This window comes from Homo sapiens, chromosome 10 (assembly GCF_000001405.40).
Source record: "Homo sapiens chromosome 10, GRCh38.p14 Primary Assembly".
Taxonomy (NCBI): domain Eukaryota; kingdom Metazoa; phylum Chordata; class Mammalia; order Primates; family Hominidae; genus Homo; species Homo sapiens.
The window spans coordinates 96731832-96756823 of NC_000010.11; the positions used below are offsets into that span (position 1 = coordinate 96731832).

A 24992-nucleotide genomic window follows, 5' to 3' on the forward strand; every position below is an offset into this window, starting at 1 on the left:
CCTCGGCCTCCCAAAGTGCTGGGATTATAGGCGTGAACCACCGCACCCAGCCAAGAATCATTTCATATTGCCTATGATTTGCATTTTTTTTCTGGAAGCGCCTGGGGACATGCTTGCCAAATTCTAATTGGATTGATTGTCTGTTTTTTTTTTTTTATTGGTTTGTAAGAGCTAAGGTATGTTAGCAACTTTTCTCCTTTGTCATATATATTCTAAGTATTTACCCTAGCCTATCATTTGTCTCCTGACTTATTATTTCTTTCACTATATAAATATGTTAATTTTTCAAAGGTGATGCGTGACTTATTGTTAGATGTGACTCTTAGGGTTTCTGAGTTTCATCTTCTACTTCAGAAGGTCTTTTTTACTTTACAATTTTATAAACAACTTCTTACATTTGTATCTAATATTTTTATTTTTTACATTTAGGCTTTTAATCCATCTGGAGTTTATTTTTGCATATGAAGTGGGGTAGAAGTGTAACTGTTTTCTTCCAGATGGATAGTCAGTTCTGCTAGCACCATATATTAAGTAAACCATCCTTCCCCCTCTGAATGAAATGTCATCTTTATTTATATCAAGCTCCCATTTGAATTTGTTTCTGGATTCCTTATTAGATTCTACTTGTATTGTTTATTTCTGTGCTATATATATACATATAGTTTTTATTATAATAGCATTGTAGTAAGTTTTATGATGTAGTATACAAGGTTGAATTATGTTTGACTGCTAGCAACAGATATAAATAACAGAGGTTTACACAAGAAGCAATTTTATTTCTTTCATGTAAAAGAAGTCTGATACAGGGTCGGGTGTGGTGGCTCACACTTGTAATCCCAGCACTTTGGGAGGCCCAGGCCGGTGGATCCCCTGAGATCAGGAGTTCTAGACCAGCCAGGTCAACACGTGAAACTCTGTCTCTACTAAAAATACAAAAAAATTAGCCAGGTGTGGTGGTGCACACCTATAGTCAGTCCCAGCTACTCAGGAGGCTGAGGCAGGAGAATCACTTGAACCCAGGAGGTGGAGGTTTCAGGGAGCTGAGATCTTGCCACTGCACTCCAGCCTGGGCAACAGCGTAAGACTCGGTCTCAAAACAAACAAACAAAAATAAGTCTGATATAGGATGCCCAGGATTGGCATGGAAGAACCATGCTTATCAGGAGCCCAGACTGTCAGGCCTCTGAGCCCAAGCCAAGCCATCGCATCCCCTGTGACTTGCACGTATATGCCCAGATGGCCTGAAGTAACTGAAGAATCACAAAAGAAGTGAAAAGGCCCTGCCCCGCCTTAACTGATGACATTCCACCATTGTGATTTGTTCCTGCCCCACCTTAACTGAGTGATTAACCCTGTGAATTTCCTTCTCCTGGCTAAGAAACTCCCCCACTGAGCACCTTGTGACCCCCGCCCCTGCCCCCCAGAGAACAACCCCCTTTGACTGTCATTTTCCATTACCTTCCCAAATCCTATAAAACTCAGCCTATAAGACTCAGCCCGCCTGCACCCAGGTGAAATAAACAGCCATGTTGCTCACACAAAGCCTGTTTGGTGGTCTCTTCACACGGATGCGCATGAAATTTGGTGCAAGAACCCCCCACCCCTTCTCCGTGTCTCTACTCTTTTCTCTGGGCTTGCCTCCTTCACTATCGGTAAGCTTCCACCTTCCATTCCTCCTTCTTCTCCCTTAGCCTGTGTTCTCAAAAACTTAAAACCTCTTCAACTCACACCTGACCTAAAACCTAAATGCCTTATTTTCTTCTGCAATGCCGCTTGACCCCAATACAAACTCGACAGTAGTTCCAAATAGCCAGAAAATGGCACTTTGAATTTTTCCATCCTGCAAAATCTAAATAATTCTTGTCGTAAAACAGGCAAACGGTCTGAGGTGCCTGACGTCCAGGCATTCTTTTACACATCAGTCCCTTCCTAGTCTCCTTGCCCAGTGCAACTCGTCCCAAATCTTCCTTTCCCTCTGGCCTGTCCCCTCAGTACCAACCCCAAGCGTCGCTGAGTCTTTCTAATCTTCCTTTTCTACAGACCCATCTGACCTCTCCCTTCCTCCCCAGGCTGCTCCTCGCCAGGCCGAGCTAGGTCCCAATTCTTCCTCAGCCTCCGTTCCTCCACCCTATAATCTTTTTATCACCTCCCCTCCTCACACCTGGTCCGGCTTACAGTTTCGTTCCATGACTAGCCCTCCCCCACCTGCCCAGCAATTTACTCTTAAAAAGCCAAAGGCATAGTCAAGGTTAATGCTCCTTTTTCTTTATCCCAAATCAGATAGCATTTAGGCTTTTTCATCAAATATAAAAATCCAGCCCAGTTCATGGCTCGTTTAGCAGCAATCCTGAGACACTTTACAGACCTAGACCCTAAAAGGTCAAAAGGCCGTCTTATTCTCAATATACATTTTATTACCCAATCTGCTCCCGACATTAAATAAAACTCCAAAAATTGGAATCTGGCCCTCAAACCCCACAACAGGACTTAATTAACCTCACCTTCAAGGTGTACAATAACAGAAAAAAGTTGCAATTCCTTGCCTCCATTGTGAGACAAACCCCAGCCACATCTCCAGCACACAAGAACTTCCAAACGCCTGAACCGCAGCAGCCAGGCGTTCCTCCAGAACCTCCTCCCCCAGGAGCTTGCTACACGTGCCGGAAATCTGGCCACCAAGCCAAGGAATGCCCGCAGCCCAGGATTCCTCCTAAGCCGTGTCCCATCTGTGCGGGACCCCACTGAAAATCGGACTGTTCAACTCACCTGGCAGCCACTCCCAGAGCCCCTGGAACTCTGGCCCAAGGCTCTCTGACTGACTCCTTCCCAGATCTTCTCGGCTTAGTGGCTGAAGACTGACACTGCCCGATCACCTCGGAAGCCCCCTAGACCATCACGGACGCCGAGCTTCGGGTAACTCTCACAGTGGGAAGTAAGCCCATCCCCTTCTTAATCAATACGGAGGCTACCCATTCCATATTACCTTCTTTTCAAGGGCCTGTTTCCCTTGCCTCCATAACTGTTGTGGGTATTGACGGCCAGGCTTCTAAACCTCTTAAAACTCCCCAACTCTGGTGCCAACTTAGACAATACTCTTTTAAGCACTCCTTTTTAGTTATCCCCACCTGCCCAGTTCCCTTATTAGGCTGAGACAATTTAACTAAATTATCTGCTTCCCTGACTATTCCTGGACTACAGCTATATCTCATTGCCGCCCTTCTTCCCAATCCAAAGCCTCCTTTGCGTCCTCCTCTTGTATCCCCCCACCTTAACCCACAAGTATAAGATACCTCTACTCCCTCCTTGGCGACCGATCATGCACCCCTTACCATCTCATTAAAACCTAATCACCCTTACCCCACTCAACGCCGATATCCCATCCCGCAGCACGCTTTAAAAGGATTAAAGCCTGTTATCACTCGCCTGCTACAGCATGGGCTTTTAAAGCCTATAAACTCTCCTTACAATTCCCCCATTTTACCTGTCCTAAAACCAGACAAGCCTTACAAGTTAGTTCAGGATCTGCGCCTTATCAACCAAATTGTTTTGACTATCCACCCCGTGGTGCCAAACCCATATACTCTCCTATCCTCAATACCTGCCTCTATAACCCATTATTCTGTTCCAGATCTCAAATATGCTTTCTTTACTATTCCTTTGCACCCTTAATCCCAGCCTCTCTTCACTTTCACTTGGACTGACCCTGACGCCCATCAAGCTCAGCAAATTACCTAGTCTGTACTGCTGCAAAGCTTCACAGACAGCCCCCATTACTTCAGTCAAGCCCAAATTTCATCCTCATCTGTTAGTCATACTCCTATTCACCGTTCTCAACTACTCATACATGCCCTGCTCTTGTTTACACTGCCGGTTTACACTGTTTCTCCAAGCCATCACAGCTGATATCTCCCAGTGCTATCCCCAAACTGCCACTCTAAACTCTTGAAGTAAATAAATAATCTTTGCTGGCAGGACTATGCTGAATCTCCTTAGGCACTCTCTAATTAGATGCCCTAGGTCCTCCCAATTCTTAGTCCTTTTATACCTGTTTTTCTCCTACTCTTATTCCATTTAGTTTTTCAATTCATACAAAACCATATCCAGGCCATCACCAATCATTCTATACAACAAATGTTTCTTCTTACATCCCCACAATATCACCCCTTACCACAAGATCTCCCTTCAGCTTAATCTCTCCCACTCTAGGTTCCCACACCGCCCCTAATCCCGCTTGAAACAGCCCTGAGAAACATCGCCCATTCTCTCTCCATACCACCCCCCAAAATTTTTCGCCGCCCCAACACTTCAACACTATTTTGTTTTATTTTTCTTATTAATATAAGAAGGCAGGAATGTCAGGCCTCTGAGCCCAAGCCAAGCCATCGCATCCCCTGTGACTTGCACGTATACGCCCAGATGGCCTGAAGTAACTGAAGAATCACAAAAGAAATGAAAAGGCCCTGCCCCGCCTTAACTGATGACACTCCACCATTGTGATTTGTTCCTGCCCCACCTTAACTGAGTGATTAACCCTGTGAATTTCCTTCTCCTGGCTCAGAAGCTCCCCTACTGAGCATCTTGTGACCCCCGCCCCTGCCCCCCAGAGAACAACCCCCTTTGACTGTAATTTTCCATTACCTTCCCAAATCCTATAAAACGGCCCCATCCCTATCTCCCTTCGCTGACTCTCTTTTCGGACTCAGCCCGCCTGCACCCAGGTGAAATAAACAGCCATGTTGCTCACACAGAGCCTATTTGGTGGTCTCTTCACACGGACGTGCATGAAACAGACTTCTTCCATTATATTCTTAACTGTGGTTTTCACTCTTATGATCTCCTCATGCTCCAAGATGGCTGCTGAATCTCCAGCCATAAATCCCTTATTCCAGGTAGGAAGCAAACAGAGTAGGGAAGGGCCAAAAGGGCACAGGCCAACTCTCTGCCTCCTTTTTAAAAGCTTTTTTGAAACTCTCACCTAACAGATTTATTTATACTCCCATCTGAAAGGGAAGCAAGGAAACAAAGTCCTTTAGATGTTAAAAGGCACCTAGTTAGTCTCAGCCACATCTAGTTAGGTAAACCCTCCCCATCCCCATTCTTTTTTTGTTAATTGGTTATTCTCAGACATTTATGTTTTTTAATTAATAGATGTTTTAGAATTAAGGAAAAATAGAACAGATAGTACAGAGTTTCCATATATCCTGCCCGCTTCTCATATAACCCCTCCCACCACAGTTTTCCCTATTTTTAACATCTTGCATTAGTGTAGTACGTTTATTACAATTAATGAATCAATATTGGTACATTACTATTAACTAAGGTCCATAGTTTACATTAAGATTTACCCTGTATTGTATACTTCCATGGGTTTTGATATATGTATAATGTCATGTGCCCACCATTACAGTATCAAACAATCATTTTGCCACACTAAAAGTTCACTGTGCTTCATTTATTCATCCCTTCCTGAACACTCCTGAACTCCTGGCAACCATTAATCATTTTATTGTCTCTACAGTTTGTGATATGGTTTGGCTCTCTATCCCCATTCAAATCTCATCTCAAATTGTAATCCCCATGTGTAGAGGGAGGAACCTGGTGGGAGGTGATTGGATCATGGGGGTGGTTTCCCCCATACTGTTCTCATGATAATGAGGAAGTTCTCACAAGGTCTGATGGTTTTAGAAGTGGCAGTTTCTCCTGCGCACTCTCTCTCTCCTGCAGTCTTATGAAGAAGGTGCTTGGTTTCCTTAGGCCTCCTCAGACATGTGGAACTGTGAGTCAATTAAACCTATTTTCTTTATAAATTACCCAGTCTTAGGTAGTTCTTTATAGCAGTGTGAGAACAGACTAATAAAGTTTGCCTTTTCCCAAATGTCATACAGTATGCAGCCTTTTCAGACTGGCTTCTTTCACTTAGCAATATGCATTTAAGTTTCCTCCATGTCTTTTCATGGCTTAAGAGCTCACTTCATTTATCATTTAGTAATATTCCATTGTATGGATATACTATAGTTGGTTTATCCACCTATTGAAGGACAGCTTGATTGTTTCCAGCCTTTGGCAATTGTGATTAAAGGTACTTACGAACATTTGCGTGGAGGGTTGTTGTTAGTTTTTGTTTTTCAGGGTTTTTTTTGAGGCAGGATCTCACTCTGTTGCCCAGGCTGGAGTGCAGTGGTAGGATCATAGCTCACTGCAACCTCAAAACCTTGAACTCCTGGGCTCAAGCAATCCTCCTACCTCTTGAGTAGCTAGGACTATTAATTTTTAAACTTTTTGTAGAGATAGAGGCTTGCTACGTTGGGCTCAAACAATCCTCCTGCTTGGCCCTCCCAAAGTGCTGGGATCACAGGCCTAAACCACAGCACCTGGCCTGTGGGCAGACTTTTATGTGGACATAATTTCAATTGGGTAAATACCTAGAAGCACAATTGCTGAATTATACAGCAATTTGCAGTCCCCTAATGACATATGGTGTTGAGTATCTTTTCATATACTTATTTGCCATCTGTATATCTTCTTTTGTGAAGTGCCTATTTAGGTATTTTGTCCATTTTATAATCGGACTGTTTGGGGTTTTTTTACTGTTGAATTTTAAGAGTTCCTTGTATATTTTGGATGCAAGTTCTTTATTTCTCAGGTGCATGTCTTGCAGAAATTTTCTCCCAATCTATGGCTTCTCTTTACAGTCTGAACAGTGTCAAACTTTCACAGAGCAGTAGTTTTTTGTTTTAATGAAGCCCAACTTGTCAATTTTCTTGTTTCATGCGTTGTGCTTTGGTGTTATATCTAAAAAGTAACAGCCAAACCCAAGTAACCAAGCTTTTCTCTGATGTGAGCTTCTCAAATTTTGATAGGTGTGTGCTTTACATTTAGATCTATAATCCATTTTGAGTTACAGGCATACCCTGTGTTATTGCACTTCACTTTATTGTACTTCTCAGATTTTGTGTTTTTTTACAAATGGAAGGTTTGTGACAACCATGCACTGAGCAAATCTATTGGTACGTTTTTCCAACAGCATGTGATCACTAGTGTCTCTGTGTCACAGTTTCATAATTATTGCAATCTTTCAAACTTTATTTTATGGTTATATCTGTTATGGTGATCTATGATCAGTGATATTAGATGTTACTATTGCAATTGTTTTAGGGCACCCAGAACTGTGCCCATATAAGATAGTAAAATAGTTTGTATCTTTCATGGAATTGGTTAATTTCATCTAAGTTTTCAAATTTGTAGGCATAGAGTTTGTTCATAATATTTTTTTTTTTTGAGACGAAGTCTCACTTCGTTGCTCAGGCTGGAGTGATCTCAGCTCACTGCAACCTCTGCCTCCTGGGTTCAAACAATTTTCGTGCCTCAGCCTCCCAAGTAGCTGGGATTACAGGCACGCATCGCCACGCCTAGCTACATTTTTGTATTTGTAGTAGAGAGGGGGTTTCACTATGTTGACCAGACTGGTCTCGAACTACTGGCCTCAAGTGATCCACCTGCCTCAGCCTCCCAAAGTGCTGGGATCAGGTGTGAGCCACCAGGCCCAGCTGCTTTATTATCCTTTTAATGTCCATGAAATCAGTAGTGATGACTCCTCTTCTATTTTCCTCCTTCCTTCCTTCCTTCTCTTTCTCTCTCTCTTTCTTTTCAGGGTATCACTTTGTCACCCAGGCTGTAGTACAATAGTGCCATCTCAACTCACCACAGTCTCAAACTCCCTGGTTCAAGCAATCTTCCTGTCTCAGCCTCCCAAGTCGCAGGAACTACTTACTCTACACCAAGATGGGGACTACTACAGTGAGCCGAGATTGCACCACTGCACTCCAGCCTGGGCAACAGAGAGAGACTCCATCTAGAAAGAAAGAGAGAGAGGGAGGGAGGGAGGGAAAGAAAGAGAGAGAGAGAGGGGAGGGGAGGGAAGGGAAAGGAAGGGAAGGGAAGGAGGGAGGGAGGAAGGAAGGAAGAAAGAAAGAGAGAAAGAAAGAAAGAAATTATGTTTTTGAGACGGAGTCTCACTCTTGTTGCCCAGGCTGGAGTGCAATGGCGCGATCTTGGCTCACTGCAGCCTCCGCCTCCCGGGTTCAAGCGATTCTCCTGCCTCAGCCTCCCCAGTAGCTGGTATTACAGGCATGTGCCACCACACCCGGCTAATTTTTGTACTTTTAGTAGAGATGGGGTTTCGCCATGTTGGCCAGGCTGGTCTTGAACTCCTGACCTCAGGTGATCTGCCTGCCTCGGCCTCCCAAAGTGTTGGGATTACAGGCGTGAGCCACCACACCCAGCCAAAATAATATTTTTAAAATTAAGATAATTCTATCTACAAATGCAGAAAAGACTCCTGTTTTAGCTGTAGACTGCCTTGGTCCAGGGTACCGCAAAGCCTAGTTTAAGAGTCACTGCCAGGTCACACGTCATAGGTCCGTCACACACACTCAGCAGCCCTTCCACCGAGGCAGCCCTGACCTTCTGTTGAGCCTTGCCCCTTGGGCCGTCCTAGGCCTCCAAGAGCTGGCCATATGGGTAGGCCCAGATTCTCATGGGGGTCCTCCTACGCATGGTAAGTGGGAAAGAAATCAGCTTTCTCTCCTGGGCAGCTCATGGACTTTGCTGGGGGATGAGGGCTCCTCTGTGAACTGTGAGGGAGCTGTTGCCTCCTGAACCCTTCCCTGGAGGGTCTCCTTCCTCTGGGACTCTCTCGCCTCTGTGTCCCTTCACTAGCAATTGGTCTTGGGTCCTGACAACAGGGATCAGGGCTTGGGGCTATAGATTTTGTGTGTACATGATGTCTTCCTCATCTGGCATTTTCTACCTTCCAATGTCCTTAAAGTCCACATATGACTTGCCTAATCCAAAGCTCCTTTTCTATTTAGAATTTCTGCAAGCCTTTCCCACCCCTTCTTCTGTAACCTCCATTAGCTTAGGCACACTTCCCTTTCCCAGGTTGGCCAGCCCTCTGGCAGAAGTCCCTCAACCATCAGCCAATCCGAGTCTGGCAAGGCTCATGATTTAAAATAAATATATACATAGACATAGATGATGTAGATATAGCCACAGGTCCTTCTATTAGTGCTTGTTTTTCATCATTCTAAGGAATCCTCAACCACATAGACAGTTGACTAGAAGACCTCACACATGTGCATTGAAATTTCCTCCTGGATATGTCACCTCCCTCAAATTGTTCAAGCTCCCAAGAAGCTGTACAGGAAAGGGTCCCGGGTTTCAGGGTTGGAGAACTCAGCAGGGCGTCCCACGGATGTTTCGACACTTCCCGTTCCCCTTCTGGGCCCTGCGCCTGCCCTGAGCTGCAAAGTCGCCCAGAACAGCCACCTCTCCCTGCCTCACTGACTGCAGCTCTGCCCAGCAACATCTCCTTCCTGACTCATGAGGCAGCTCACTCCCTAAAAACCTCCCCTAAACCCCCTCCGTGTCCCTGCAGGGTCCTTCTTCCCCCATTTCCCCTGTCCACACACACTTCTCTCACTTGTCCCCACATTCTATTTATTTTTCAGTTTATTGTGGTTACTGATTTACCTTTTTTTTAATTTTAATTTTATTTATTTATTTTTGAGACAGAGTCTCGCTCTGTCACCCAGGCTGGAGCGCAGTGGTGCGATCTCAGCTCACTGCAACCTCTGCCACCTGGGTTCAAGCAATTCTCCTGCCTCAGCCTCTTGAGTAGCTGAGACTACAGGCGCCCACGACGACACCCAGCTAATTTTTGTATTTTTAGTAGAGACAGAATTTCATCATGTTGGCCAGGCTGGTCTCAAACTCCTGACCTCAGGTGATCCACCCACCTCAGCCTCTCAAAGTGTTGGGATTACAGGCGTGAGCTACAACGCCTGATTCCCTTATTTTTTTTCTTTAGAGAAATAAGGTATTGCTCTCTCGCCCAGGCTGTAGTACAGTGATGCAATCACAGCTCACTGCCACCTCAAAATCTTGGGCTCAAGCCATCTTCCTGCCTCAGCCTCCCGAGTAGCCGGGACTACAGACACATACCAACATGCCAAGCTAACTCAGTTCATTTTTGGTAGAGACCGGGTCTGGCTATATTGCCCAGGCTGGTCTTGAACTCCTGGCCTCAAGCAATCCTCCCACCTCAGCCTCTCAAAATGCTGGGATTACAGGCAGAATGCACCATGTCTGGCCTTGTTTTACTTTTTAATGTAAAACTAATATATATTTATCATGAAAGAGGAGGGACTGGGCACGGTGGCTCATGCCTGTAATACCAGCACTTTGGGAGGCTGAGGCGGGCAGATCACAAGGTCAGGAGTTCAAGGCCAGCCTGGACAATATGATGAAACCCTGTCTCTACTAAAAATACAAAAAGTATCTGGGCATGGTGGCGCGCACCTGTAGTCCCAGCTACTCCAGAGGCTGAGGTGGGCGAATTGCTTGAACCCAGAAGGCAGAGGTTGCAGTGAGCCGAGATCACGCCACTGCACTCTAGCCTGGGCGACAGAGCAAGACTCCATCTCAAAAAAGAAAGGGGAGGGGAGGGGGAGAGAGAGAGAGAGAGGAAAGGGAGGGGAGGGGAGGGGAGGTAAAGCAAGCCCTAGATGAGGAATTAACTAGTTCTGGATATGGACTGTGTTGGTGGGACCAACTTAAAGACAGAAGAAAAAGAATAGAAAAACCCGCTCCATCTCCTTTAGTGTTCCCTGCCTCCCCAGAAAAATATACTTTCTTAAAGGTGCAAATGAAAATTGTGAACCCAATGCTGGCTATGATCTTTTTGAGGTCCACTGAGCAACGCAATATTCTCCTTGGGTTAAATTTGTGTTACATTTATCTGAATCGATTGAAATTCAAGAAACTATAGGCAAAAAAGTATTTAATACTCAGTGCAGAAAAATTAAAACAGCAAAGTCAAAAGGCAAAAATAAAAATAAAAATAAGCCGCAGTCTCCTCAGTGAGCAGCAGCACCGTAACAAGACAATGCATTCAGGCTTTCCTGATGCTTCTATATAAACAGGTCGACAGTCTCTCATCTGTAATTCCCCCAGGCAAAAATCCCTGGAACCACAAGGTTGTTTTGTTTTTGTGTTTGTTTTCCAAGTTTGTAGTGAATTTATTTGGCTGCACCACCTGATCCAAACTGATGTGGTGCTATTTATATTCTTCAGTTATCTCACTTAATGTGAATACTCGTATGTTTCACTGCAGAAATATTAATGAATTTGGCTGTCGTGAGTTGCTACTTCAAGCACACTAAGGATGTTCCATAATTATACACCTTTGTAAAATCTGAAAAAGTTTGAATCACAAAATACATTGACCCCCAAGGGTCAGAACAGTGGACCTGAATACTTAAAAGAAGCGATGATAGTGCTCACTGCGGCAGCCCATATACTAAAATTGGGACAATACAGAGAAGATTGGCATGGCCCCTGTGCAAGGATGACATGCAAATTCACGAAGCATTCCATATTAAAAAAAAAATTGTTTTAGGCCGGGCACGGTGGCTCATGCCTGTAATCCCAGCACTTTGGGAGGCCGAGGCGGGCCGATCACTTGAGGTCAGGAGTTTGAGACCCACCTGATCAACATGGTGAAACCCTGTCTCTACTAAAAATACAAAAATTAGCTGGGCGTGGTGGCGGGCCCCTGTAATCCCAGCTACTCGAGAGGCTGAGGCAGGAGAATCTCTTGAACCCGGGAGGTGGAGGTTGCAGTGAGCCAAGATCACACCATCGCACTCCAGCCTGGGCAACAAGAGTGAAACTTCATCTCAAAAATAAAATAAGATACAAAAATTAGCTGGGCATGGGGTCATGCACCTATAGTCCCAGCTACTTGGGAGGCTGAGGCTCGAGAATCACTTGAACCTGGGAGGTGGAGGTTGCAGTGAACCGAGATTGCACCACTGCATTCCAGCCTGGGTGACAGAGCAAGACTCTGTCTAAACATAAATAAATAAAATAAAAATGTTAAGAATTAAAAAAAAATAAGTGATGATAAAACAGTGATGCTGTACAGCATCTACATGTTCTAGGTACTGCCAAGCACTTTGCATATATTAATCAAATGCTTGTAACAATTCTATAGGGTAACTACTATTACCTTCATCTGCATTTTACATATGAGGAACAGGATTACATTGTACCTACTGTTTCACGCTTGCTTTCTGCACTTAATATGTCTTGAACATATTTCAATTGAGTGAACATTCATCCACAGCACTGTGGCTGCATCATGCCCTGTTGTGCGGCTGTGCTATCATTTCACCTGTCCTCTGGTACTGGACACTTAGGTTGCTTCCATACCCTTTCTTTTTGGTGCATTTCTCTGTGAGACCCTTCAGTAGAGGCTTGTGAGTCATCCCTCTCAAACCTTTGATCATGAGAAAACAGCACACCCCAGTGGCTATTGGCTCCTTGAGAGGAAGCTATATCTTCCTACCTCTTGACCATTTCCCTTTTATTTTTTATTTTTTCCTATTCTAACAGAAATGTGCTCGTTCTTTGTATATCTCTGTCTAATCTCCCAGCATCTGAGAGATCCATTTTGCCATTGCTGGGGCAGGATCTGAGATGGCCGGCATCCCTCACTTCAGGCAACACGGCCTCTTTGGTTTCCTACCCTGATGTCCTGTCGGTTCTACTGACCTACTTCCCTCTCTGTGTGACTTGGTTTCAGAAGGTTAGTATGTCGTCGGTGTGAGGTCTGCATCCCTATTGTCTGATGCTACATATTTAGTTGAATGGGTCCTCTCTTGATGTCTTTTAATCTTGGTTCTTTTCCCAGAGTTGCCACTAAAATTGTCCCATGCCACTTGTATTAGTTCCCCGTGGCTGCTGTGACACATTACCACAAATTTCATGGCTTAAAACTACACAATTTTTTTTTTAAATTTTCAGATAAGGCTTCACTCTGTCACCCAAGCTGGAATGCAGTGGTGCAGTCTTGGCTTACTGTAACCTCTGCCCCCCAGACTCAAAGTGATCCTCCCACCTGAGCCTCCCAAGTAGCTGGGACTACAAGCGCATGTCACCATATCCGGCTAATTTTGGGGGGATTTTTTTTGTAGAAATAGGGTTTCGCCATGTTGCCCAGGCTGGTCTGAAACTCCTAGGCTCAAGCAATCTGCCCACCTCAGCCTCCCAAAGTGCTGGGATTATAGACATGAGCCACCAGGCCTGAACCAGATGTTTATTCTTTCACAATTCAGGAGGCCAAAAGTCTGGAATCAAGGTGTCAGCAGGACGGCACTCCCTCTGAAGACATGGAGGACAATCCTTCATTGCTCCTTCCAGCTTCTGGTGGCTCCAGGAGTTCCTTGGCTTGTGGCTGCATAACTCAGATCTCTGCCTCCCTCCTCATATCACCTCTTTTCCCCAGGTCTCTCTTCTATGTCTCTTATAAGAACACTTGTCATTGGATTTAGGGTCCATCCAGATAATCCAGGATGGCCTGGGCGTGGTGGTTCATGCCTGTAATCCCAGCACTTTGGGAGGCCAAGGCAGGCAGATCACCTGAGATCAGGAGTTCGAGACCAGCCTGGTCAACATGGTGAAACCCTGTCTCTACTAAAATTAAAAAAAAAAAAAAATACAAAAATTAGCCAAGTGTGGTGGCACACACCTGTAATCCCAGCTACTCCGGAGGCTGAGGCAAGAGAATCACTTGAACCTGGAGGCGGAGGCTGCAGTAAGCTGAGGTCGTGCCACTGCACTCCAGCCTGGGTGACAAGAGCAAGACTCAATCTCAAAACAAAACAAAAAAAAAACCCAACAGATAATCCAGGATGATCTCACCTTGGGATTATATCTGCAAAGACCCTTTTTCCAAATAACGTCACATTCACGGGTTCCAGGGGTTAAGATGTGGGCCACGTTTTTGGGAGCCACCATTCAACCCACAATAATATCACTCTTCCCAAGTCTAGGGATTCGTTTTTTCCCCTTCACACTCTCCAGGTGGGACCTCTCGCTCTCTCACTTCCCATCCAGGACAGCCTATCCCCCTAGGAGATCTGTCAGTGGATCTGTGTGGAGTTAGACTATGGGTATGAGAAAAATGGTTTCTTTCTTCTGCTGAACCATAAAAGAATCCCAAACCAGTCCTTTCACATACATTAAACATATTTTCTTCATCAAATTGGGTGTTGTTACTTATACTAAAACTATGGGCAGTTTTTCTTTACCCCCAAAATCAAAGTTTATATTTCAAGGAGGAGAGAGTTCTTTTTTTGAGTGCTTAGAATACAATAAATGCTGTTACACTATCTTATTTAACCCTCATAACAACCCTGAGTCTTACAACCCATTTTCTCTTCTTCAGAGAATGGAAAACTGAGGCTCAGAGAGGTTAAGTAACTTACTAAAAATCACACAGTAAATAGAGGGATACAGCTATGTCAACCCCAGAGCTTTTTGGTTCTGTCTCTACACCAAACTGCCTTTGGGAATTTTCCAGATGAGGTGAGTGCAGCACAGAGACAATAAATGGTACAGAGAAGCCAGGCATGGTGGCTCAGGCCTGTAATCCCAGCACTTCAGGAGGCCAAGGCAGGAGGATCTCTTGAGCTCAGGAGTTTGAGATTAACCTGGGCAACATAGTGGGACCCAGTCTCTAATAAATAAATAAATAAATGGCACAGAGGTCACTTAGCTAATGATGGCAACAGGAACAGAAGCTTGCTCAACTCCCAGTAATTTGCTCTTTCCCCCATACCATATTCTTGGCTTAGAACATAAGGTATCATTTGGGCTGACAGAAAGACACACATCCTGATTAAGCTCAGAAAGAACCTGAACTTTGGAGTGACAGCCCAAGTCTATTCCAGTTCCTCTGCCTGGTAACCAATGCTCCTGGACCAGTCACTTGGCATCTCTGACACTCAGTGTCCTTATCTGCAAAATGGTGTAATCAGGCATCCACCTCTTTGCATCACTGTGAGGACTAGGGAATGCGTGCTGAAATAGATGGTATGTAGAACGTGTTTCACAAACAGCAGCTATGACAACTATTCATATTTCGACTGCATGCCTCTTCAGAAGTAAAAGGCTTTTTTAATGATAAAAGAAAAAGTAATTCATGTTTATGGTAAAGAGTATAAAGCCACACCTTCCCCATCCCAAAAGATCCCAGACCTCATCCTTGAAGGTGGCTATTGTTAACAGCACCTTTTGTGTGGTTCCACAAATTTTCTACGCATTTGGAAGTATATATATATTCGTCACACAAATAGGATCATAGAAGTTCACTGCTTACTTTTTTCCCTAAGTAATTGTCCCAGTTGTGCTCCCCAGGAAGCAAACTCTGAGAAGGAATTAAGTGTGCACGGCTGGACATGGTGGCTCACACCTGTAATCCCAGCACTTTGGGAGGCCAAGGCGGGCAGATCACTTAAGCCCAGAAGTTCGAGACCAGCCTGGGCAACATGGCAAAACCCCATCTCCACAAAAAATACAAAAATTGGCCTGGTGCAGTGGCTCACACCTGTAATCCCTGCACTTTGGGAGGCCAAGGCAGGTGGATCACCTGAGGTCAGAAGTTCGAGACCAGCCTGGCCAACATGATGAAACCCCATCTCTACTTAAAAAAATACAAAAATACAAAAATTAGCTGGATGTGGTGGTGGATGCCTGTAATCCCAGCTACTCAGGAGGCTGAGGCAGAATTGGTTGAACCTGGGAGGCAGAGGTTGCAGTGAGCGGAGATTGGACCACTGCACTCCAGCCTGGGCAACAAGAGCGAAATTCCATCTTTAAAAAAAAAAAATAGAAAAATTAGCTGGGTATGGTGGTACATACCTGTAGTCCTAGCTATTCGGGAGGCTGAGGTGGAAGGATTGCTTGAGCCCAGGAGGTCGAGGCTGCAGTGAGCCGTGATCACACCACTGCACTCCAGCGCAGGCAACCAAGTGAGACCCTCTCTCAAACAAAAAAAAGCAATTATGTGTGTGCGATGCATGCTTACCAGGGAGTGCTCCTGGAAGCGCTGCCTGTGGAAGGAAGGACAGAGGGAAAAGTCCAGATGCTCAGACAGCCTGGGAGGTAAATGAACCCTCAGAAAGCCATGGGCCTTTCCATCCCCACTGCTGTCAGTGGACCAGCCTGGGCTGGGCATGTCCTTGGGCATCTTTGAAGGGGATGGCAGTAAAGGGCTGTCTGCTCTCCCTGCTCCCAACTGCCCTGGTGTGCTCCTGGCCAACTTGTCTAACTGCTGAAGACCCAGGCTCTGTCGGTGAGTCTGGCTTCACTAGGCTGTGTTACTTTTAAACCAGTTTTATGTGAGTTTTTATTGTCTGGGGAGAGTCACCATTACCTTTTCTTCTTCCCCTTTTGACAGCAGAACTTCTGCTTCCTCTTTGGCTGCAACCTGAGGTAAAAGGTTATGGGAAGGGAAAGGATGAAGCCCTAGACACATTTCTCTGACAAATATCGAAAACAGAAAGCAGATAAGGATTCCCATCTGGTAAAAGACAAGCACAAAGAGTCATTCACACACGTGACAATGGGCCCATTCTAGCCACTTCCCCTTTCAATAATCTTTTAGTATTTTCCTTTGTTCAGTACTTGATGAATCAACCACCAAGGTGAGAATTTGGAGCTGTTGCCCCATGGTCTGAAAGGGTCAGATGCCACTGCCCTGCCCAGGAAATGCCCACAGACGGGGCTGCCGTAAAACTCAGCATACTCTATGGACAACCCCACCCCTCACCCCCACTTCCTTCTCTCAAACTTAGGCACCCACTCATTCATAGAAAAGCAAAGATTCGCCTGGAAAACATAGCAAGACTCTGTCTTTACAGAAAATAAAAATAAATTAGCTGGAGCCAGGCGCAGTGGCTCCCACCTGTAATTCCCGCACTTTGGGAGGCCAATGCGGGCAGATCATTTGAGGTCAGGAGTTCAAGACCAGACTGACCAATATGATGAAAACCCGTCTCTACTAAAAATACAAAAATTAGCTGGGCGTGGTGGCGCACACTTGTAATCTCAGCTACTTAGAAGGCAGAGGCATGACAATCACTTGAACCCGGGAGGCAGAGGTTGCAGTGAGCTGAGATCATACCACTGCACTCCAGCCTAGGTGACAGAGAGAGACTCTGTCTCAAATAAATAAATAAATATAAGCTGGGCATGGTGGCATTCACCTGTGGTCCCAGCTACTTGAGAGGTGGAGGCAGGAAGATGACTTGCACCTGGGAGGTTCAGGCTGCAGTGAACTCTGATCATACCACTGCACTGCAGCCTGGGTGACAGAGCAAGATGCTATCTCAGAAAAAAAAAAAAAAAAAGAAAAGAAAGAAAAAAAGAAAGGCAAAGAGAAGAAAACAAAGAAAGAAAAGATTGGGAGAGGTGGACCGGGCTCTATTCTGGGGATGATGACCTTTGTGAAAGCAGAAGTTAGGCCTTAATCCACACTACAGGTAGAGATGCAAAATGGTACAACCATTTTGAAAATTAGTTTGGTAAGTTTCTTATAAAGTTAAATAAACAACACACGAGCCAGCCAGTCCACTCCTAGATAAATGAAAACCTGTATTCACACAATGACTTATACATGAATGTTCACAGCAGCCTTATTCATAATAGCTCAGGCTGGAAACAACCCAAATGTTCATCAGATTAAAAAACTGATATATTCTTACAACAGGCTGGGTGCAGTGGCTCACGCCTGTAATCCCAACACTTTGGGAGGCCAAGGCGGGCGGATCACTTGAGATCAGGAGTTCAAGACCAGCCTGGCCAACATGGCAAAACCCCGTCTCTACTGAAAATTAGCAGGCTTGGTGGTGTGCACCTGTAATCCCAGCTACTCGGGAGGCTGAGGCATGAGAATTGCTTGAACCTGGGAGGCAGAAGCTGCAGTAAGCCAAGATTGTGTCACTGCACTCCACCTATGTAATAGAGTGAGCCTCTGTCTCAATAAATAAATAAATAAAATAAAAATTAAAAATAAAAACATTCTTACAATGGAATACTAACTAATCAGTAATAAAAAGGATGCACTATTGATGTACACAAAACATGGATGAGGCCAGGTGCAGCAGCTCATCCCTATAATCCCAGCACTTTGGGAGGCCGAGGCGGGCGAATAGCTTGAGGTCAGGAGTTCGAGACCTGCCTGGCCAACATGGACCTGGTCTCTACTAAAAATACAAAAAGTAGCCGGACGTGGTTGCAGGCACCTATAATCCCAGCTATTTGGGAGGCCGAGGCAGGAGAATCTCTTGAACCAGGGAGGCGGAGGTTGCAGTGAGCCAAGATTGCACCATTGCACTACGGCCTGGGTGACAGGATGACACTCCATCTCAAAAAAAAAAAAAAAGTATGAGGTAGACCTGGCACGGTGGCTCACACCTGTAATCCCAGCACTTTGAGGGGCTGAGGCGGGAGGATTGTTTGAGCTCAGGGTTCAAGACCAGCCTGGGCAACATGGTGAAACACTCTCTCTATTAAAAAAAAAAAAAGAGCTTTCCCAAGCGGCTGCCGAAGATGGCGGAGGTGCAGGTCCTGGTGCTTGATGGTCGAGGCCATCTCCTGGGCCGCCTGGCGGCCATCGTGGCTAAACAGGTACTGCTGGGCCGGAAGGTGGTGGTTGTACGCTGTGAAGGCATCAACATTTCTGGCAATTTCTACAGAAACAAGTTGAAGTACCTGGCTTTCCTCCGCAAGCGGATGAACACCAACCCTTCCCGAGTCCCCTACCACTTCCGGGCCCCCAGCCGCATCTTCTGGCGGACCGTGCGAGGTATGCTGCCCCACAAGACCAAGCGAGGCCAGGCCGCTCTGGACCGTCTCAAGGTGTTTGACGGCATCCCACCGCCCTACGACAAGAAAAAGCGGATGGTGGTTCCTGCTGCCCTCAAGGTCGTGCGTCTGAAGCCTACAAGAAAGTTTGCCTATCTGGGGCGCCTGGCTCACGAGGTTGGCTGGAAGTACCAGGCAGTGACAGCCACCCTGGAGGAGAAGAGGAAAGAGAAAGCCAAGATCCACTACCGGAAGAAGAAACAGCTCATGAGGCTACGGAAACAGGCCGAGAAGAACGTGGAGAAGAAAATTGACAAATACACAGAGGTCCTCAAGACCCACGGACTCCTGGTCTGAGCCCAATAAAGACTGTTAATTCCTAAAAAAAAAAAAAAAAAAAAAAAAAAGAAAAAGGAAAAAAAAGAGCACGAGGGAACTAGAGACTAATGGAAACATTCTATGTCTTGGCTATAGTGGTTATTACATGTAATACAAATTTGTGACAATTAGTCAAAGTGTATACTTTAAGTGAATGAATTGCATTTTATGCAAAATATTCCTCAAAAATGATTAAAAATAGAATACATAAGCAAGAATATTAAGAAAAATGTGGAAAGTAAACAAAATCAGGTGGTTTTGATTTTCTAGCTATTTTAATTTGCTATAATTTACATTAAAACTGTGCAATAGGCCAGGGGCGGTGGCTCACACCTAGTAACCCCAGCACTTTGGGAGTCCGAGGCAGGCGGATCACGAGTTCAGGAGATCGAGACCATCCTGGCCAACATGGTGAAACCCCGTCTCTACTAAAAATACAAAAAATTAGCCAGGCGTGGTGGTGGACGCCTGTAGTCCCACCTATTCGGGAGGCTGAGGCAGGAGAATGGTGTGAACCTGGGAGGCGGAGTTTGCAGTGAGCTGAGATCCTACCACTGCACTCCAGCCTGAGCAACAGGGCGAGACTCCATCTCAAATAACAAAAAAAAACTTTGCAATAAATATTAGAAACACTATTAATATAAATCATTCTGTTTTTTGTTTTTTTTTGTTTTTTTTTTTGAGACGGAGTCTCGTTCTGTCGCCCAGGCGGGAGTGCTGTGGCGCGATCTCCGCTCACTGCAAGCTCCGCCTTCTGGGTTCACGCCATTCTCCTGCCTCAGCCTCCCGAGTAGCTGGGACTACAGGCGCCCGCCACTGCGCCCGGCTAATTTTTTGTATTTTTAGTAGAGACGGGGTTTCACCGTGGTCTCGATCTCCTGACCTCGTGATCCGCCCGCCTCGGCCTCCCAAAGTGCTGGGATTACAGGCGTGAGCCACCGCGCCCGGCCATAAATCATTCTGTTAATAAAGGAGTATGACCCTAAGATCACCTCAATAGGTGCTAATAAGGTGTTTAATAAAAGTTAAAACTCATGTTCTAGAAACAAAAACAATGAAGAGAAACTAATAATAGCTTCTGGCCAGGCACAGTGGCTCATGCCTGTAATCCCAGCACTTTGGGAGGCCGAGGTAGGTGGATAACCTGAGGTCAGGAGTTCAAGACCAGCTTGGCCAACGTGGCAAAACCCTATCTCTACTAAAAATACAAAAAAATTAGCCGAGCATGGTGGCGCACGCCTGTAGTCCCAGCTACTCGGGAGGCTGAGGCATGAGAATTGCTTGAACCCAGGCAACAGAAGGTTGTAGTGAGCTGAGATTGTGCCACTGCACTCCAGCCTGGGTGATTGAGTGAGACTCTGTCAAAAAAGAAAAAAGAAAGAAAGGAAGAGAGAAAGAGAGAAGGAAAGGAAGGAAGGAAGGAAGGGAGGGAGGGAGGGAGGAAGGAGAAAGAAAGAAAGAGAAAGAAAGAAAGAGAAAGAAAGAAAGGGAAAACTTCTTTAACGCGATAAAGATTATCCATCAGAAACCAAGAGTGTTGGTATCCAAGAAAATGTTAAAATTTTTTTTTAATTAAAGAAAAAGAAACCAAGACCAAATATCATAGGGAATGGTGAAACACGCGTTTTAATGACAAGTGCCTGCTAACATCTATGACTCAGCATTGTACTGCAGTATCATTCTGGAATCACCACTGGGTCTCTACAGGGGAGGTACATACACCCTTAGAGATGTATACATATATACCTTCTAGGAAATGTATTGGAAGAATGTGGGAGCATATTTAGTTATCATAATGATCAGGGAGTTGATATTTTACATATGAATTCAAGGATTAAGTCCTTTGCAAGGATTTAATAATACACTGAAAAAATTCCAAGAATGAAACTAGCACATAGTGTGAGGGAATATCGTACTTTGCTTTTTCCAAACTGTATCAAAAGTTGTTGAGCATTTGGAAAAATCTTGTACCTGTAGCACCATGGTAGATATTTGAGTAGCCTAGTATCAGTCTAAATGTGTGTTGTCACATTCCCAGTGGTAATGGACATAGATAGAAGTATCTCTGACAGCTTCATTATGGCTGTTAGTATATTTCCGTCCCTAACATTTACATATTGAAGTAATACTATCTTATTATAGAATTCTTTTCCTTAGGTTCTCCTTAAGTCCTTATTACCTTATAGCATAATACTTATGGTTTAGAAATTATGAGATTAAGTGGCTTATATTGCCTACAAATTTCATTTTAGATTATTAAAAGTATTGTTACATATTCTTTGTTATAAATGTGATAGAATTAAGAACCACTGTTCTAGGCTGGGTGCGGTAGCTCACACCTGCAATCCCAGCACTTTGGGAGGCTGAGGCAGGCAAATCACTTGAGGTCAGGAGTTTGAGACCAGCCTGGTCAGCATAGTGAAACCCTGTCTCTACTAAAAATACAAAAAATTAGCCAGGTGTGGTGGCGTGCGCCTGTAATCCCAGCTACTTGGAAGACTGAGGCAGGAGAATTACTGGAACCTAGGAAGTTTAGGTTGCAGTGAGCTGAGATCGCCCCACTGCACTCCAGCCTGGGCGACAAGAGTGAGACTCTGTGAAAGGAGAGGAGAGGAGAAGGGAGGGGAGGGGGAAAGAAACAACGTTCTAGTGCTATAAGCAAAGTAACTGAGGTAAAATACAGGAAGGAAAAAATAGAAGCTGTTTGTCAGAGATATAATTGTATTAGAAAAGTCAAGAGAGGCAACTAAAAACCATTAGAATTGGTAAGAGAGGTCACTATGGTAGCAATATTGGATAAATGTAAAAGGTATGATTGACAATGATACAAACAGGCACTTGTTTTATTTTTCTTTATAAATATCAACTTTCCTTTGCAAACTGAACTCCTAACTCTAACCCTATGCTAGCAAGGGTGGGTGGAGGATGGTGAGGAAGACTAAGCGTTGCCCAGGAATGTCTCTTCTGCTACATGTAATGATTTTGTTCAGCATGGTGGTGATTACCTATAGAGGTGCAGAGGGGATGGTGAAGGGGAGAGCAAGGGCCACAGTCTCCCTGTTACACTCTCTCCTCTGTTCGGTGGGTCAAAGCTCTCAGCAGGAGACTAGACCAAAATAATGTATGGTCTGCAGGCTAGGCTGTGCCCCTGGGCTATGATCTTTCCTCCACTGGGTTCCTTTCCATTTTCATTAAAGAAGAGAGAAAGACAGAGAAGGGAAGGAGGAAAAGAGAAAGTAATTTTTTAAGAAAGTAAAGAAGGAATAGTGAAAACAAGCAGAAAAAGAGGGGTACATATGTGCATCCTGGGAACAAAGAAGGATATGCTCCCAAATATTAAAGTACTTGACTGACTTAGGGAAGGAGATGTTGAGGGGCAGTATAGATGACTCTTACTTTATGCAATCCTGTGTTTAAAAATTTTTACAACATGGTCTAGCAATTCCACTCTTAGGAGTATAGCTAAGGGAAATGGAAACCTATGTTCACACAAAAATGTATACATTAATATTCACAGAAGCATTATTCTTAATAGCCAAAAAGTGAAAATAACCCAAATAGCCATCAACTGATGAATGAATAAATAAAATGTAGTACTTCCATATGACAGAATATTATTTGGCAATAAAAAGAAATGATGCCCAGACACTGTGGCTCACACCTGTAATCCCAGCACTTTGGGAGGCCAAAGTGGGAGGATCGCTTGAAGCCGGGAGTTCAAGACCAGCCTGGACAACATAGCAAGATTTCATTTCTATCTTTTCTTTAAAAAATGAAATACTAACACATGCTGAACTGAACATGGATGAACCTTGCAAACATTATGCTAGGTGAAAGAAGCTAGTCACAAAGGACCACAATTTATGAATCCGTTTTTATGAAATGTCCAAAATAGGCAAATCTATGGACAGAAAGTAGAAAGCAGATTCGTGGTTGCCCAAGACCAAGGAAATGAGGGCATTAGGGGATGATGGCTAAAGGGTGCAAAGGTTCTTTTTGGGGTAATGAGAATATTCTGGAACTTATTGTGGTGACGATTACACATCTCTGTGAATATACTAAAAGCTATTGAATTATACACTTTAAATGGGTCAGTTGTATGCTATGTGAATCATATCTCAATAATAAAGTCATTAACAAAAACTTTGTGAAGAGCATATATAACTTTTATACTAATAAACAAGTAGTACTTTTATCTGTTAAATGTACATGTTATCATATGGATTTGTTATATATTAACAGATGTCCAAAAAAAAAAAAAAAAACCAGAACTATCACAATATCACAATAGGATTCTGCCGTGAGTGCCCTGGATAATTTCTCTTCTAAATATGCGGTTATCTAACAAAAGTGGGAGGGAATACAATGTAGCAATGGCAAAAAAAAAAAAAAAAAAAAAAAGGAAAAGAAAAGCAACACACAGTGGTGGACAAAATGGAGAATCCAGAAATAGACACCACTAAATATAAATTCATTATATGATACTGTAAGCTTTTAAAAACCCTGAGGTGAGGGCATTTTCTTTGAATGGTGCTGGAATAATTGGATAGTAATTTGGGGAAGAAATTAAATCAGATTTCTATCTTAACAACATACTGCAAAAAGAAACTCCAGATGGTTTGAAGTATTCAATATAAAAGTCACATTAAATAAAATCGAAAAGAAATGAGAATGGATTATTTATCAAATCTGTGAAGGATTGGTAAATTTCTCAACTCAGAAAGTATCACTAAAGCCAGACATTCAAATATGCAAAATTTTTCATTTCTACACCTTAAAAATTAAGCAAAATTAAGATAAGAAGACATCAGATTTAAAAAATAGGGGAAGCACAGGGGCTAATGTCTGTAATCCCACCACTTTGGGAGGCTGAGGAGGGCTGATCTTTTGAGTTCAGGAGTTCAAGACCAGCCTGGGCAACATAGCAAAATCCAGACTCTACAAAAAAATTTCAAAATTAGCCAGGCATGGTGTCACAGACCTGTGGTCCCAACTATCTGGGGGCTTGAGGTGGGAGAATCACTTGAAACCAGGAGGTCGAGGCTCCAGAGAGCCATGATTGTGCCACTGCACTCCAGCCTGGGTGACGAAGTGAGACCCTGTCTTAAAAAAAAGTACATTCATCACAGATATGACAAAGGATTAGTAGGGAAAAAAAGAGTTCATAGAAAGATCTTATTCTAGCTATTAAAAAGAAGAAGAAGAAGAAAAGAACCCAGTGGATAAATGCACAAAAGAACAGACAATTTGCATTAGGAGAATTAATAGTAAACAGAAAAATATTAAAAGGCCCATAATTGATAGTAATCAAGAAATGCAAATTACAGCAGCTGCATTCTGAATCCTGGCACTACTGTATTAACCTACATGAAGCTTTAGATTCTGGGCCCTTACTTGCTTCAGCAAATAGACCTGGTTTCCCTTTCTCTTTCACAGAGCTCAGTTAGTGCCCAAATATAATAACCTCATTATCTATAGGAGGTCAAAATTATCTCCCATTTATTCTTCCTTTCCCCGCACCTTTATGACCCATATTTTTTCTGGAAAAAAAAATAGTTATTGAATGGCTGGGCTCAGTGGCTCATGCCTGTAATCCTAGCACTCTAGGAGGCTGAGGCGGACGGATCACTTGAGCCCAGGAGTTCAAGACCAGGCTGGGCAACATGGTGAAACCCTGTCTTCACATACACACACAAAAAATACAAAAATTAGTCAGGCGTGGTGGCATGTGCCTGTACTCCCAGCTACTCAGGAGGCTGGGGTGGAAGAATCACCTGGGCCCAGGAGGTGGAGGCTGCAGTGAGCTGTGATTGCATCACTGCACTCCAGCCTAGGCGACAGAGCCAAACACTGTCAAAAAAAAAAAAAAATTGTTGAAAATATGTAAAAATACACTTCTTCCA

General features: G+C 44.1%; 2 pseudogenes across 1 annotated transcript, besides 4 other annotated features; both read left to right on the forward strand.

Annotated features, from left to right (window-relative positions):
* Positions 1447–2152: an enhancer, noted in NCBI's record as "NANOG-H3K27ac hESC enhancer chr10:98493035-98493740 (GRCh37/hg19 assembly coordinates)". NCBI's record gives its function as "activates a minimal SCP1, AML or CMV promoter by ChIP-STARR-seq in primed H9 embryonic stem cells {active_cell/tissue: H9 hESC(primed)}" and the evidence as "EXISTENCE:reporter gene assay evidence [ECO:0000049][PMID:30033119]".
* Positions 3100–3896: an enhancer, noted in NCBI's record as "H3K27ac hESC enhancer chr10:98494688-98495484 (GRCh37/hg19 assembly coordinates)". NCBI's record gives its function as "activates a minimal SCP1, AML or CMV promoter by ChIP-STARR-seq in primed H9 embryonic stem cells {active_cell/tissue: H9 hESC(primed)}" and the evidence as "EXISTENCE:reporter gene assay evidence [ECO:0000049][PMID:30033119]".
* Positions 9367–9436: an enhancer, noted in NCBI's record as "active region_3841". NCBI's record gives its function as "activates an Ori minimal core promoter by ATAC-STARR-seq in GM12878 lymphoblastoid cells {active_cell/tissue: GM12878}" and the evidence as "EXISTENCE:reporter gene assay evidence [ECO:0000049][PMID:35858748]".
* RNU6-1274P (RNA, U6 small nuclear 1274, pseudogene) lies at positions 11336–11442 on the forward strand (annotated as a pseudogene).
* Positions 12259–12308: an enhancer, noted in NCBI's record as "active region_3842". NCBI's record gives its function as "activates an Ori minimal core promoter by ATAC-STARR-seq in GM12878 lymphoblastoid cells {active_cell/tissue: GM12878}" and the evidence as "EXISTENCE:reporter gene assay evidence [ECO:0000049][PMID:35858748]".
* Positions 18435–19092, forward strand: RPL13AP5 (ribosomal protein L13a pseudogene 5; annotated as a pseudogene). The gene has a single exon (NR_026712.1). The product of NR_026712.1 is annotated as a ribosomal protein L13a pseudogene 5 (transcript).
* The last annotated feature ends 5900 nt before the right edge of the window (positions 19093–24992 follow it).